Here is a 16,298-nt window from a genome sequence, read left to right as displayed (position 1 = left end):
AGACGGAGAGTGTGTTGGGCCCATGAAAGGGGAAGGCACAGCTTTTCTGATGTGAATGGTGAGATTCAAGAAGTAGGTGACGAAAGGGGAGGGCGAGGAGGGGCCCTCAGGAAAGGTATGCATAAAAGACCGAGAGAGAAGAGTTGGCATCCACCTATGTGTTAATAAATTTGTTGTCAAAGCTGGAGATGTATATGGCTGCTGGCCTATGCTCCACGCTTGATGGCATGTCTACATGCCTTGCTTGTGGATTCTCTCTGGATCCAAGGCTCCTGTCATCTGAGAACAAGAATTTCTAAGCCCTGCCAAGGCATATATATGTGTACTTCTATTGGCTTTTCAACTCCAAATATAAATGCTATTTGTACTGTGTGTTATTTGGGATTTTTCTTTTACTCTTTTCACCTCCAATATAGAACAATATTGAGAAATGTTCATTGTCGAACATCTGAATATCTCGGGATTTTTTTTTCCTTAAGCTCACTTTGAAAAAGGAAGAAAAATGTTTTGTATAGTGAACCATGCTCTAACTCTGTAACACTGCTACTCATAATTCCTTGGCACGGCATATCCTGCTAGAGGAAAGAACTCTTCTGGTGTTTTGAGCTTTTCCAAGGAGGCAGTCTGATGTCACTGGTGGCAGATGCAGTGTATATGTATCTGTCTTTTGTCTGCACCATCTGTTTTTCTCCTTACAGTCTATTGTTCAGATTTATGCTTCTCTCTTTCCAGGAAGTGTGCCTTTCCATAAGAGCACGGGCCTTAGGTGATAAAGGGACCGACCCAATATTCTAACACGGTTTCCTTCTCTTCCTTCCCTCCTAGAATCTTATGGCAAGGGCCTTATATGACAATGTCCCAGAGTGTGCCGAGGAACTGGCCTTTCGCAAGGGAGACATCCTGACCGTCATAGAGCAGAACACAGGGGGACTGGAAGGATGGTGGCTGTGCTCATTACACGGTCGGCAAGGCATTGTCCCAGGCAACCGGGTGAAGCTTCTGATTGGTCCCATGCAGGAGACTGCCTCCAGTCACGAGCAGCCTGCCTCTGGACTGATGCAGCAGACCTTTGGCCAACAGAAGCTCTATCAAGTGCCAAACCCACAGGCTGCTCCCCGAGACACCATCTACCAAGTGCCACCTTCCTACCAAAATCAGGGAATTTACCAAGTCCCCACTGGCCACGGCACCCAAGAACAAGAGGTATATCAGGTGCCACCATCAGTGCAGAGAAGCATTGGGGGAACCAGTGGGCCCCACGTGGGTAAAAAGGTGAGTAAATGACTAACTAAATTTTTGTTCCTACTTATTTTTTTTTCCCATTACACTTGGAGCATTTGGAAATGTTCCCAAATTAATAACTTGAAGCTGCCAAGAAGTAGATATAACCAATACCTTAGCTCAGGCATCATGTTTGCATGATTTTGCCATTCATCCATCATTCAGCAAAACTTCTTTGAACTACCATGTGCTGAGTACAGTTGATTTCCAGCCCTCCTAAGTTCCTGTGTCATCCTGGGTTACATGGGTTATTAAACTGTTTCTCTCCATCTTTCTCATATATCAGCTTCTAAGCCTTCACTCTGTGCTCAGATCGTTTCCTATCTTTTCTGTTTCTTCATTGAGTGGAACAAACACCAAATCTCGTACAAGCCTGATGATGCAACAAGGATCCTCCCTTGGCCAAAAGCTGAATCATGACCTCAGTGGCCTGGCTGGACAAGGAACCCACCCAAAGTAGCGAGAGTGAGGAAGCTGGGAGTATGTCATGCTGACCAACTCGTTCTATAGAGTTATCAGCTTAGTTTGACTCATTTAAAAATGCACAGATACTAGTGGAATTGGAATGAAGCCATCCTCCTGTCCTTCAAGTCATTCTTATAATAATGCCTGAGGCAGTGGGTGAAAACAGTGGAGCTTGGATATTTAGGAAGGAATTAATTTAAAAATACAGTGTGGGGAGCTCTGCAACACCCTGTGTAATCCCAAATACTTTAGCAATTTGAGGTCAATAGAAATTCACTAATTGAACAATGAATGTTGAGCATCTAATATATTTTTGATGCTTGTGATACAGTGATTAATTAAAGATAAACAAAGCCCTGGTGATGCTTACATTGCCGTGGGGGAGACAGAAGCAACCAAGAGAATGCTAGGTAGGGACACGTGTTATCAGGAAAATAATGTCAGTGGACTGATCGGGGGTAACACCCACAACCAAGGTGATGCTTATGTGAGCATCACAAAGGAGGGATTTTCTCTTTCATTTGCTGGCAAATTCCAATGGGTCCTACAAGGTTTGGTATTAGGAATGAACAAATTTAACTGGATAAGAAGATATCCCTGAATTACAAGAGGAAAGATGCAATTACATACCAGAAAGAGCTTGTTGACCCTTAGAACACTAACTATAGATGTGTCCTGCCCCAAGTAAATCTAATATGAAGTCTGATTTTACAAACCTCTGTAAATTAGGGAATATCTATTTGATGTATTAGAATCCTCTGTTGAAAAAACAAAGGATTCCTTTAAACAATGAAAGCACTAATGCATTTTTGGGTACATGGAAAGAGGCAGCCTAGAGACCCTGTGGAGAGCCCTTAGTGTTTGGCTGGGGAGGTGCCAGGGCCACCCTCCTGCCCTCCCCATCCTGGCCATGTCACCACCCCAGACCCTGACCCTGTGTGGGTAGATTCCTTTAAACAACAAAGCACTAATGCATTTTTAAATCACCTTTGATATAAAAAGTATGTTTTACAAAATACTTCTCAAGAGCACGCGTGTGGCATGAACTGAGCGTAGGTTCGTTAAGAGGGATTCCTCAAGGGTGGTGCACAGCTTTTAGACTTGTACTGCCCACGACAACGATGCTGCCTAGAGGTGATAAACTGACTTGTGGCTTTTCAGTCTTCCTTGTCCTAGGAATTGTAGATTCAAAGGGAAAACAAAACCTGGCTTCTATCTCCAGAGGGGAAAAATAACAGTTGAAAGGTGTAACTATAAATAAGTAACTTCACTCATTCTTAGTCCTGGTTGTTTGCACCTTAAAAATAGCTCTCCCACATCTGAGCCAGTGTGAGGCAGAAGGGGAGGCCAGAGCAGGAAATGCTTGGCTGGGAGGTGGTGGGCTCTAAACTTTCATCACAGTTGACTTTGGCAGGAAGGTAGCGTGTTTTCCTTTTTAGACCCAACCTTTTCAGCTCCAAGTCAGAGAAGCCTAAGCCTTCAGACTTCTTCCCCTTGTATCTGCTGGGACTGCCCTGCAGGCTTTCCCCATGGCTCCCCGTCCTTCCAGAGGGCAGAGATACGGACTCATCTTCCCTTGGATTGATGTCAAAGGGCTGGGGTGCTGGGGTGACCCTCGGGCACTCACATTCCATGTTTTGTTTTGCTTTTTTTAAGTCTACACTCAGTAGAACATTTTCTGTTTAGCAAAAGGTAGATGAGTCCTGCAGGAGGAAATCAACTTCTGAAAATGACCTGTGCCAGCCCTTCCAGGAGTTGCAGCCAGGGCTGAAGAGTAGGCCGTGCCTAAAGCATCACACAGTCAGGGTCTGGGGTAGTGACATGGCCAGGATGGGGAGGGCAAGAGGGTGGCCCTGGCACCTTCCCTGCCAAATACCAAGGGCTTCTCCACAGTATCCTGATCCTGGGTCTCTAGGCTGCCTCTCTCCATGTACCCCAGAGCAGTGGTTCACATCCATGGGAGTGTGGTTGCCTCTTCCTTTCTTTTCACTCCCTTCCTCACTTCTCTTTTCTATCTCTCTCTCTCTCTCTCTCTCTCTCCCCCCATCCCTCCCTCCTTCCCTCTCCCTCCCTTCCTCCCTTCCTTCCTTTCTTTCATAGTGGAGATGGCTTAGCTGCTAGGAGGTGATTTTAGCCTTCCAGGCAATTGCAACTGCTTTAAAAAACATCTGTCAACATCTTCCTGGGTATAGGATATTCTCAGTGGGTGGGAATCATTCTAATGACTTAAGCCTAGGCCCTAAGAGATAATCCCAGCACACTGGGGATCAGGCGTGGCTTTTTCATTTTTCTGAGTTTGCATTTTAGTAGTTTTACTGACTGGCTTAATAAAGCAATTTGCTCATTTTCTCTTTAAATTTTTCATCTGTAAGATAATATGAGCCCAGAACTAGATATGCCTGGTAGTTTAAGCTATGGTCTTTAAAAGCTCTTGAATAAGAAAATAAGGAGGCAGTGGAATCTTATTCTGAGCCACCGGGGTGGGGTTTAAAAATGTTAATGGGCATAGAATCACCCAGAGAGGTAGGGCAGTGAGTTTAAATGCAGATTCCCAGGTCTTTCCCTCAGAGAAATTAATCCAGTAGGTCTGGTTGGGGGCCCAGGAATCTGCATCTTATTGAGCTCCTTGCATAGTTTTGTGGGTGGTGGCCTAGGACTAGACTTTGAGAAACACTGTAAAGGGACCATGAAGGGGCTGGGACATGCTCCAATCTGATTATGATTTGGGACTTTCCATAGTTCAAAATTCCCTTGATATTGCTACAGACTGTGGGCTTCCGAAGTTTTACCCAGCACTGCTTTTTTCTACTAATGAATCACTTAAGGAAAAAAAAAAGACAGTGAATTCTGCCTTCTATCACTTCAACTTTGCTCTCTTGGAAACTCCAACCTCTACCCACCCTCTTGCATCCCCTCCACACTAACTGACATTCATCACATATTAAATCAGCATTTAGAGAAAGAAATATAGTCATAAAATCCCCACCCTTTTAGGAAACAAGCAGACAGTGTGAGAATTGTGGAGAGAGTAAGGCCTTCAGGGTTCAGCTGATGCTGGGTTGTTTCTCCATAGCTGTATATCCTTTGGTAAGTTACTGACCATCTCTACGCCTTGGTTTCTTCATCTGTTTAATGGGAATGATACTAACTACTTCATAGGCTGTCGTGAGAATTAAACAGAAGCATACATAGAAAGTCCCTGGCTCAGTGCTTAGCATGGCAGGGGCTTAAAAGAATGCATTCCTCTCACCTTGCGTTTCCTTTCTCAGAGTTTATTTCCTACTACATCAGCCCTGTTGTGTTTCTTACGACACACCGAAGGTACAAGTGCTTTCTTGCTAACACATATGCTGTGTTTTTTGAGTGTGTGGCTTTCTCTTTGGTTCTGCAAGAATTCTGCAAAGGGTGGAAAAAAACTCTCCAAGTTATCTGAAAACCATATACGCTGACACCTTTACTTAATTTCATTGGTCTTTTTCACTCTGTGTTTTGTGCACAGGGCCGTTTTATCCATTAGGCGTTGTAGGCAATATGCCCAGTGCCTATAAGAATGTTTGGGAGCTGAATAAAAGATCTTTTGACTCCAAAATATGAAACACAAAAACTGCAAAATAGAAATTAATAAACATTTAGGTCAATGTCTAGGAAACCATATCATGTCTGCCCCATTAATTGTTTTATTTAGGGCTTATAACTATTTCATCATATTAGAAAACAGTATGTAGGTTATATTTTTCTCACTTTGCAAAGATTTCTAAATATGCATCATGGTTGCCAAGAACCCACAGGCAATCCTAAATTAAATAAGTTACTCATAGTCGAATAATTTGAAAAACTGAATTATAAAGGAAGAAAAAAAGTTTTCAATTTTTAACAGCAAAAATTCTACTTAATATGGGATTATGGTTTGGGGTAAATGAAATCTACAAATGTTCAAAACCAAAAGCCTAAAAAGATCTAAAATAGTCTCATTTCTCTGCTTCAAAGATCAGTGAAATTGCTACCTGAGTTCATCCATTTCACAGTTGATCTGCATGGGAAATTATATGTGCTTCTCTGATTTTTCTTTGGATGTGTCGCTTTTATTCTAACTGCTGGAACTATTTGTTGTACCTCTTTCTGAAGATCAGTTTGGGGCTAAATTACAAGCTCCATCAGCACAGGGGCCATGGCTGCCTCCTGACTGCTGTAGGCTGAGCACTTGGTAGAGCATCAGCCCACAGATAGCAGCCCAGTGAACCAATGAACAGGTGGAAGCAAGAATCAAAGTGTTAAATGAGAGTTAACCTTTAATTAACTGAAAGGTGGTTCTGATCTTATCACACATCCACCCTCACACGCTGCTGCTCGAATCCCATGGTTCAGCTCATTACCATCTGGTATGAGAGGTGTCAGATTATATACAGTCATTTCCCTCGCTGAAGGACCTTCCAGAATGTCACTGCCTGTGTCCTGTAAGGGTAACTATTCATATACAATCAATGAGCACCTTGATGCAAAGCATGAGTGATGTAAAGAAGGGCTTATCTGAGAGTTTAACTTCTGTGCATTTTGCCCAATTTAGACAAGATTAGTTAACTCCTCTGTGGTCACCTAAGGAGGAAAACTAGGCTTTTTTTTTTTTTTTTTGAGTCAGGGTCTCGCTCTGTCACCCATGCTGAAGTGCGGTGGTGCCATCTCGGCTCACTGCAACTTCTGGCTCCTGGGTTCAAGCGATTCTCATTCCTCAGCCTGCCCAGTAGCTGGGACTATAGGCATGCGCTACCAAGCCTGGCTAATTTTTGTGCTTTTAGTAGAGACGGGGTTTTGCCATGTTGGCCAGGCTGGTCTTGAACTCCTGGCCTCAGGTGATATGCCCGCTTCAGGTTCCCAAAGTGCTGGGATAATAGGCATGAGCCACTGCGCCTGGCCTAACTTTTTCTACTGAGGGGCAGAACTTCCTTTGCATATGTTATGATTTACCTAGAATGCCTTTCCCTTCTATTTTCCCTGTGAACTCCTATCCATTCTTTAAAACCCACTCCAAGGTTCATCCCCCTCATGAAGCTTCCTCTCTGCAACCCAGCAGTTTCTCCCTTCCCTATGGTCCCAGAATGTGTTGTATATTCCATTGATCTCAAGGGCTTCTTAAAAATGGAATGGTCTGCCATTGCAATGTGTGTGATGGTCTGGACTGGGGTAAGTATTGCTTTGAGGTGGCACTTGGAAAACTGAAGTAATATTCAGATTTACCAAGATCCTATGACATCATCTTTAAGGACCATTTTCTACCTTCCAAAATGGGTCACGGCCAAATGTTGGCAGGAAATGATTCAAAGGTTTTAGCCAGGTCTTCCAGGCCCATTCCTGAAAGGTAATGTAAGAAACAGAAATAGATTAGCTACAATGTTTGTACCTTCCTAGACACTGAGTCATCACAAATTACACACATACACGTACATACACATACACATACACACACACAGACACCCATAAGCTGTTGGCTAAGGAACAAGGACTTCCCTTATTGGAATTTGAGGCATTGTGCAATCTGGTTGCCCAGAGCGACACTCAGATACTAGCCAACTAAGTGCTATATATTAGCAGCATGACTTGTCTAACAACAAGCAAAAAATAGGTTTAGAGGAAATGAAAGCTTCCAGAAAAGTTAAATTCTGACTTCACCTCACTTTCTCCTGTTCCTTGCCTATACACACACAAAATACGTACACACCCAAAAAATACTCCTAGGGCAGAGGGTACTTCGGTTTCCTCATTTATAAATCAATAAAGTACAACTATGTTCCAGAATTGTACATTTCTACATAAAGATAATCCTAATGTATATGAATTGTTTGCCTCGATACATGGGTTTTGGGGCTATGCAGAGAACTGTACTTGCCATCTAAAATGTCACCCCTGAAGTTTCAAGATACATTTTAATATTACACAAAACTGGAGGTCATTCAGCTCTTGAAGGGCAGGACTTTATGAGCTCACTTTGAAAATGAGAAGTTATCTTTTCTCAGACAAGTCACCCGAGCCAAAGCAATGAGCAAACTCTAACACCCCTCCTTAAAAATTAACAAAGGTCCTTTTTGTTTGGCCAGTGCCAAAGCCTTCAAACTCAGTTGCACTTCGTTCTAAATTTTATAGATAATGCATATTTCTAAGAGTGCATTAGTAACTTCTTATAAACCCACACCAAAGCAAACAGAGGTTAACCCTCCTTTTTCAATGATTTCATGCTAAATGACTGTGCTTATCAGAGTGAAGAGGTAAGAGACTGCTTTAATATGATGTCTGGCTAAGTAGGAGAACACTGTGAGAGAGAGAAAACAGAATAAATTTATTTATTTAATTTCATGATAAACAATATTCGTTGAACACATCTTTTTTTTTATTTTTGAGATGGAGTTTCACTCTTGTTGTCCAGGCTGGAATGCAATGGCGCAATCTTGGCTCACTGCAACCTCCGCCTCCCAGGTTCAAGCGATTCTCCTGTCTCCGCCTCCCAAGTAGCTGGGATTACAGGTGCCCACCACCTTGCCCGGCTAATTTTTGTATTTTTAGTAGAGACGGGGTTTCATCATATTGGTCAGGCTGGTCTCAAACTCCTGATCTCAGGTGATCTGCCCACCTCGGCCTCCCAAAGTGCTGGGATTACAGACATGAGCCATCACGCCCGGCCTGGTTGTACAAATCTTTAAAAAAAGACTTGCTTGACTACATTGTGCAAAATGCAGAACTAGAAACTGTCAGCAATCAAAAGCACTTCATTCTAACTAGCTGTGCCTTAAACGTTGTCAAGATAACTTCTAGAGAGATGTGCTGCTCCTGTTTAAAGTGTGTCAGTGCCACTCACATAGGACAATGTGTGTTCCTCAAAAGTCGGATGTAGGTCGGGCGCAGTGGCGCATGCCTGTAATTCCAGCACTTTGGAAGGCCGAAGTGGGTAGATCACCTGAGGTCAGGAGTTTGCAACCAGTCTGACTGATACCATGAAACCCCGTCTCCACTAAATACAAAAAAATTAGCCAGGCATGGTGGTGCATGCCTGTTAATCCGAGTTACTTCGGAGGCTGAGACAGGAGAATCGCTTGTACCTGGGAGGCAGAGGTTGCAGTGAGCTGAGATCACGCCATTGCACTCCAGCCTGGGCAACAAGAGCAAAACTCTGTCTCAAAAAAAAAAAAAAGTAGGATGTAACTCCAGTAACATTTGAAGAGTGCCAAGGAGTCCTCTCTTTAAAGGGATCCTACAGTATATCAGTTTTTTGAAGCAAAGAAGCCTTTAGCAATGCCACAATCGCCTCTGATTTATTTGATTAATTTTTGTAATACTTGGTTTTCTTAAAGCATGGCACACTTAAACCAGTTATTTATTGGAATAGTTTTTGTTTTCAAAGTCACTACCAATTGAATGTGCAGCCTTCACTGGTGTCATTACCCCATGCTTCCGTCTCATTTTGCAAGATAGTGTTAGAACTAAAGTGGGGGTGACCCCAAGGCGCCTTGAGCCTTGGCTCCATGTTAGGGATCCCATAGAGGTACTACCACCTGATCCTCTCCACAGCCTCGTGAGGTGCACCTCACAGCATTTGCTGTTCAGAGGAGGGAACTGAGGTCTGAGAAGGAAATTCACTTGCTGAAGTTAACTTGCTGCCTCCAGTGAGAGGCAGGATTGATATTTGAGCCCACGTCTGTCTGACTCCAATGCTAATGATTTTTACATCCCGGCTGAAGGATGATATTGCCAAGCCCTTAAAGAAGAAGGCATATTTGGACACCTCATTAGCAATTTGGGCGCTAAATCATACCCTGTTGGCCAGGAAGAATTAAAGTTGCTGCCCAGGGCTCCCACCTCAGGTCCAGGGAGTAGCCTCAATACTGAGGGAATCTGAATTAAGGAGCTTGGAAGTTCCCCCCACCTAGCTGTAGTGGGCAGTTTCAGAGTGGGCTGATCCAGGAGTCCTGACCAGGTCAGTAGGGTGATGTCTAGACTCCAGTACCACTGAGAATGTTGCTATGTTGGCTTTCTCTGCCACACAGAAAAGTCTTTTCTTTCCTTTTCTTTTCTTTCTTTCTTTCTTTTTTTTTTTTTTTTTTGAGACGGACCCTCCCTCTGTTGACCAGGCTGGAGTGCAGTGGCACAATCTCGGCTCACCACAACCTCCGCCTCCTGGGTTCAAGTGATTCTCCTGCCTTAGCCTCCCGAGTAGCTGGGACTATGGGTGCGCACTACCATGCCTGGCTAATTTTTGTATTTTTAGTAGAGACAAAGTTTCACTACGTTGGCAAGGCTGGTCTCAAACTCCTGACCTCGTGATCTGCCCACCTCGGCCTCCCAAAGTGCTGGGATTATAGGCGTGAGCCACCACGCCTGGCCTAAGACTGTCTTTCCAAATGACTTCAAATTCCTTCAAATGGGTAACTTCATTTAACCAGGTGGGGGCACCTCCCAAAACACAAGTTACCCAGCTTTCAAGTTGTGGCTCTCATATAAGGAAGTAACTTTCTTTGAGAGTATTTACTTGTGAAATTATAAAAGTAGTAAATTTCTGGAAAATGTCTAACATGTATTGCTAGCGTAGGCCGCAGGGCATTGAGAAACGTATACCGCTGCACTGCTGGCCCAGCTAACCAAGGGTCTCCTTCACTTCTTTGTCATTAATAGCCTGAGTAACTAACTCCACTTTAGTTCCCTCAACTGTGAAATGGCAAGTGATGCTAGATTATCTCTAATGATCTTTGCTAAAATTTTATGATCCAGATATCCTTATCTGATTCTTTCTCAGAATCACTTTAACAGTTTAATAAAAACGGCCTGACATCAAGAGTTTTTTTTTTTTTAAAGAAAAGATACTCAAGCATTGATTATAAATTTCAACTTGACCCTTAAGTTTTTGCAAATCTTTCCTACTCTTCCTTTAGGATCCAGCCCACCATCCCATCCAGAACCACAGTGCCCTTTGGAAGACAGAGCTATGCCAAAAGACAGCAGGAGCAGGCAGGGACACAAGGAGGCAGGGACTGGAGTGTGCTGAGCCAGTGAGAATCAGTGTTTGACAGACCTGGGTCCTGTACCCAAAAAAACTTCCAGAGTTCCCCATTAAGGAGCACTCTCATCCCTGTTTTGTTACCAAGAGCTAAGAAAGCACTTCATCCTGGAACTCATTGTTTTCTGCCCATTTTCCCCTATGTAATCCTCTTGGATTTTGCAGACGTTTTAGGCCTGTTGTCTCTGGACACGACAACCACCTTCAGAGCTGGCACCGAGTTCTGCCTTGTGAGTGGTTTGCCCCATCAGCCACTGCATCCCTTCTTCCAACTAAACCTGAGCGTTCTCCTCTTTAGGAAGAAATGATACCAATCGGCATTTGGGTCCCAAAATTCTCATCTCTCACCTCCTCTTCACAGTCCCTTTCCCCTTAGGGCAGTCTGTGGGCATCTCTCTAAAATCCATTTCCCAATCTAGATGTAGCGCTCAGAGTCCTGTTGAATTTATTTGGACATCAAAAGAGCCACAATACTTGTGCTTTTTTATAGTTTTCTTTCAAAGAACATTTCAGTCCATGAGACAGAAAAAAAATGGCTTTGCTGTATCCAACTTGTCACAGGCTTGTATTTGGCATTGTTCTGAGAAAGACCTCAACCACTCGTGAAACCCAGACGTCATTTCCCGTCGTGTTCTTTCATGTTAAATGCTTCTAGCTGCTCGCTGGTGCTTGGTCACTCTATAACTAAATATTGCTTTAGCACTGGCTACACAAAGAGCTTCCTGAAAGCAGCAGGGGGGACATGCTAGGGGCTTAACAATAGGGGCACTGTTTCCATTGAGCGGGTTTGCTGCCCAACGCTGTGTCAAATGAAAGTGACCCAGGAGCACCACTGCTCCACTTCTGAGCTTCCACTTGTGACTTTTTCCTCACTGGGGAAAGAAGCTGGCTGTGATTTAGATGTGGCTAGCAAAAGGTTTAGTTCTGGCATAAAATCAGGCATCAGAACGACTTTGAAAGAAAGTAATTCACCTTCAAAAATACATGGGGAAAAAACTTCATGAGCACCAGAGAAGCATTTGGAAGAGTTAACCTTGGACATGGCTTACGAGGGTGTATTTTTAAGGCCAGACTCAGTTTTCATTATATTGTTGCTATGCAAGTAAATAAATGAGCTCACTGCTACACCCAAGCTGGGCAGAATGAATTTACAGAGAATTAATAAATCCAGGGTAGGCAACATGTGGCTTTTCTTCTGGTCATAGAGAAGCAACTAGTACTCTTGGATTTTAAGCAGGCAAACCTCTGTAGCTTTACAGTTTCTGAAAATTGGATCCCAGTTCTAATGGGCAGGCAGTGATAATGGTAATGTTTCTTTTCCTAAGGTTTTCTTTAAAGGGAAGGGATCAAATAGTTCATTTAAGACAAAGAGGTTATTATAAAGTCTAATAAATACTGTGGTAGCTCTGTTAATGCTTTTCAAGGGCATTTAAGTGAAAGAAGCCCTTTCCAACAGGCAGTTTTGGAAAGCTAAACACTCTTGTTAATTCATGAAACGCAAAGAGAGATAATATAAATAAATCAGGGGCTGGGGAGGAATTAGAGATAGACAGGAAGCAGTCAAATTTTACTTCCCACATATGCCAAGAAAAGTGCAAATACATGGCTGTTACTTAGTAAAACCTACTTTTAAATTCAGAGAATCGTAGGTACTATGAATGGTGAGGTTATAAATCTGTAATCATTACAGCACGGGGACACTTTTTAACTTCTCATCAATTACCCATTGTTATTTCCTGAGCACATCCTGGGTTACCTAGCTCCTGACTAGGCATTAGGGAAGGACACAAGAAGCTGACTCCACACATTAGTACTCTACTAAATTCATGGGTAAACTCCACTGGTCAATAATCAAGTCACTATCTCTATATTGGAGGCAAAGGATTGCACAATTCAGGCTATTTGTAATGTTGCTTTGGATTGTAGAGACTTAGACTCAGAGGAATCACGGGACATAGAATCTAGAACAGGTCTGTGTCCCATCATTCTCTTAAAAGAAAACCTTTCAAGTAATATTTCTTATTATCTTTTAAAATCTTGTTAAAATGACAAAATATATATATATTTGTAATTTTTAAAATTTTGATGCATACAAAGATAGACATAGATAGATAGATAATGTAGAAGTATAAATAATAATAAGTCACTAGAGCATGACTAACTAGTGAAGTTACCCAGTCTCCTCTCCATCCCATCTCTCTGTCTCCCATCCACTCTACCCAACTCTTCCTTTCAAAGAGTAGGATTTTTCTGCTTCGTTTTTTTACTGCTTTGTTCTTACTTAGGGTTGCTGGAAGCACATGGAAGGAGGGAAGTAGTCAAAACAAGACAGTGTTGTGAGGGGAGAGATGAGAAGTCATGATAAGTAGGTGGGTGGGTGACCCACAGGGCTGGCATCAGAAGGAAACATAGCAAAACATGATGGATATGAGGCTTGCTGTGGGGAGGGGGATTGGCCTTTGTGAGTGGCAGCCGTCTGCTCCCTTCCCGCTTCCCTTAGTGCTCCATTGAGCTAGCAGCATGCAGCTGAGAAGTTGAAGTTCTGACCACATGGCCTCTGCTGCCGCTGCTCTGCCCCATCCCAGGCACCTAGCCAGCTCTGCATTAAGGAGGTGAAGTGGATGCCCAAGGAAAGAAGTGCCCCCAAGGAGACTTGCTGAGACCTTGAACAAGTGACACAATGTGAGCAGAACTTGTCTTGACAGAAAATGCTTTGTCTCTAGGTGTTCCAGAGAGATGGGCAAGTGTCCTATTTCTTAGTGAGAGCCTCTAAACAAACCAGCTTGTGAACCTCCACTGAAAAGATCTCATCTGATGAGCATTTTAATAAAGTGTCCTGAGTTTGGAGGCTTGCCGTCTTTCTCTTGGATAAATATCTTCATCTCCTAGACTTGGAAAAACACATTTTCTCCTGGGGTTTCCCATTGGCGTGTCTTGAGCTGCTCTGGTGATAACCGTAATAATGCCAATACTGATACGAACAGCAGAAAACAGTAACCCCAAGAACTCTACAGATGATCATCAAGGACCACTGTCTCTTACCATTTGCTGCTTTGGTTTGAAATTCTCACTGCCTCGTAGATCTCATTTTGAGCACTATACATTCCTAAAGATTGATTTCTTTCTATCTGACTTAAATTTAGGAATGATTAAATCTTCATTTCTCCCATGATTTGATCCTAAAACATTTTGAAAGGAAACAGCCTTGAGATCTGTGATTACTAAGACATACATAACATTCTTATCACATTAGAAAGCAAGAATTGACTGTTGCTTGTCTTGTTCCTGTTGTCTTGTCCCCTGAATTCCTGTTTATCTTTGATTGTATGTGGGACATTGTATTTTCAGTACATTTGTAGAAATAATGTGAAGCCTATAAAGATGTTCTCTGCCTCCAGAGAGAATTTTGTTTCCTTCTGCCAGCCTCATAGGCAAGCATACATCTGATTCCATGCTTTGAGCTGTTCTGGCAACCCTGATGTCTTCAGCCTGTGCAAGGGTGGGTTTACTTCCAGTTAATCCTTATTTTGGATACAGTCCTTAGGGTTCCAACCCAAAGTCGGGGGTGGTTTGGGGTCCCTGCCTTGGTGAGCCCTATAGTCCAATGTTCCCCCTTACCCAAAGAAGCTGTAGAAAACCCAGCACAGCCTCCCAGGCACCAGTTTCAGATCAGCAAAAAATAGCAAATGCCCCCAGGCTTGAAAAGCAATCTCACCTCTATTAACTCTTCTCCCAAAGTTTGACCTAGTAATTCTTTATTATCCTTGAACTCTTGACACTATTAAGAAGATCTTTTCGGCTGGGCGCAGTGGCTCACGCCTGTAATCCCAGCACTTTCGGAGGCCGAGGCGGGCGGATCACGAGGTCAGGAGATCGAGATCGTCCTGGCTAACACGGTAAAACCCCGTCTCTACTAAAAATACAAAAAATTAGCTGGGCACGGTGGCGGGCGCAGTGGGCGGGTGCCTGTAGTCCCAGCTACTCGGAAGGCTGAGGCAGGAGAATGGCGTGAACTCAGGAGGCGGAGCTTGCGGTGAGCCGAGATCTCACCACTGCACTCCAGCCTGGGCGACAGAGTAAGACTCTGTCTCAAAAAAAAAAAAAAAAAAAAAAAAAAAAAAAAAAAAAAAAAGATCTTTCCTAGCTTTTCTTCATTTTTTTAAGTTGTCTTCAGCAAGATGGTTAATCTCAATTACCTAGTCCATGATTTCTGGAAGTCAAAGTCAAAAGGTAAAATCTATATAGCCTAGGTGACAATTACAATAACAATAACAATAGCTAAGGCTTATTATGGCTTTATGCCAGGTACTTTATGCACTTGATCTCATTTAATACTCATATAGCCTATGAGGGAAGTATAATTTCCATTTTACCTATGAGAAAACAGGCTTAGAATGGAACCTTTGTTCTCATAGCTTGTGAGTGGTAGAACCGGGATTTAGATCCAGCTCTGCCTGAGTCCAGCTTCTGTTTGTCAATTACTTCCCTCTTCAGACCTAATTCTTCCAATAAGCAACAGAAAAAGACCCAGTGGGGCCATGGCCTCTGGCACACAGCTTCTCATAAACGAGCCTATCACACATCCCCAGAACTAAAGCAATCGTATGTTCCTTCTGATGTTGAGGTAAAAAGCAGGGTTTGTTTTGGTTTCCCTTTTCCAAAACACTCCCCCACATGTTTCTGGCTTGTGGTTAAGAAGAACCCAGGTGTTCATGTCACATACGAGCTCAACTGGGGAAAAGGAAACCATCCAGCAGCCCTCCTTGCCTGCCAATAGTGGCTTCACCCAACTTGGGGTGCATTCTTCTACAGTTTCTGATTTCTCAACTTCACCTAACATTCCCTTGCCTTCTTGGATCCCTCTCTTGCCCAACACTACCATGCATGGCTGATAGGGCACTGTTCTGCCCCATATCCCATGGGTTCTACTTAACCCAGAGCTGGCTTACCTGGAAACCAAGCTTATTCTGTAGTGGCAGACCTCACGCCATCTTGCTTAATAGCCTTCAGTTTTCCTTTAGTTGATTAATGTATCACTCAATAGATTATGCAAGACCTACTCTGCTAGGCACTGTACTAGGCCCTGTGGTTTATATTTAAATGAAGAGGGAATGATCTCTGACTTTAAAATGCTGGAAGAAGAGATGAGATGCATCAAGACCGTCAAACCACAAGTGATAAGTGCTGTCAGAGATGTGTGGATCACTGGCTCAGGGAGTTCCAAGGATAGAGACATATTATCTGTTTGGGAAGGGCTTGGTGGGGGAAAGGCATTCAGCCGGGCCTTGAAAATCAATTAAAGTTTGAATATGAGGAAAGAAAGAAGAGCATCTCAGACAAGGACATGGCATGGATGAAGGCACAGAGGTATGGGCGTGCAGGGCATCTGTGGAAATGGACAGCTCAGTTCTCGCCGAGGGAGGGAGTTGGTGCAGAGCCTGGGGGCCCTGCCTTCAGAAGATTTCCAAGAGGAAGGAGGGCAAAAATACACAGATGAAGGCAAAGACTGGCAGCC

The 16,298-nt window shown here is 43.3% G+C and overlaps 1 protein-coding gene across 5 annotated transcripts in view, besides 1 other annotated feature; it reads left to right on the top strand.

The window, feature by feature from the left end:
- NEDD9 (neural precursor cell expressed, developmentally down-regulated 9) overlaps positions 1–16,298 on the top strand; it is a 199,051-nt gene that overhangs the window by 167,796 nt on the left and 14,957 nt on the right. For 2 of the 5 annotated variants that reach the window (NM_001142393.2, NM_006403.4), the window contains one exon: positions 826–1,272. The exons of 1 other annotated variant lie outside the window; for it this stretch is intronic. In NM_001142393.2, coding sequence (NP_001135865.1) covers positions 826–1,272 — 447 coding nt within the window. Of the gene's footprint in view, positions 1–825; positions 1,273–13,506; positions 16,246–16,298 lie in introns of those variants that run through there. 2 more of the 5 variants (NR_073131.1, NM_182966.4) reach the window with 2 other exon arrangements.
- Positions 15,274–15,323: an enhancer, noted in NCBI's record as "active region_23979". NCBI's record gives its function as "activates an Ori minimal core promoter by ATAC-STARR-seq in GM12878 lymphoblastoid cells {active_cell/tissue: GM12878}" and the evidence as "EXISTENCE:reporter gene assay evidence [ECO:0000049][PMID:35858748]".

This window comes from Homo sapiens, chromosome 6 (genome assembly GCF_000001405.40).
Source record: "Homo sapiens chromosome 6, GRCh38.p14 Primary Assembly".
NCBI lineage: Eukaryota > Metazoa > Chordata > Mammalia > Primates > Hominidae > Homo > Homo sapiens.
Note: the sequence above shows the minus strand (reverse complement) of the source record. Positions and strands in the feature narration are given on the sequence as shown.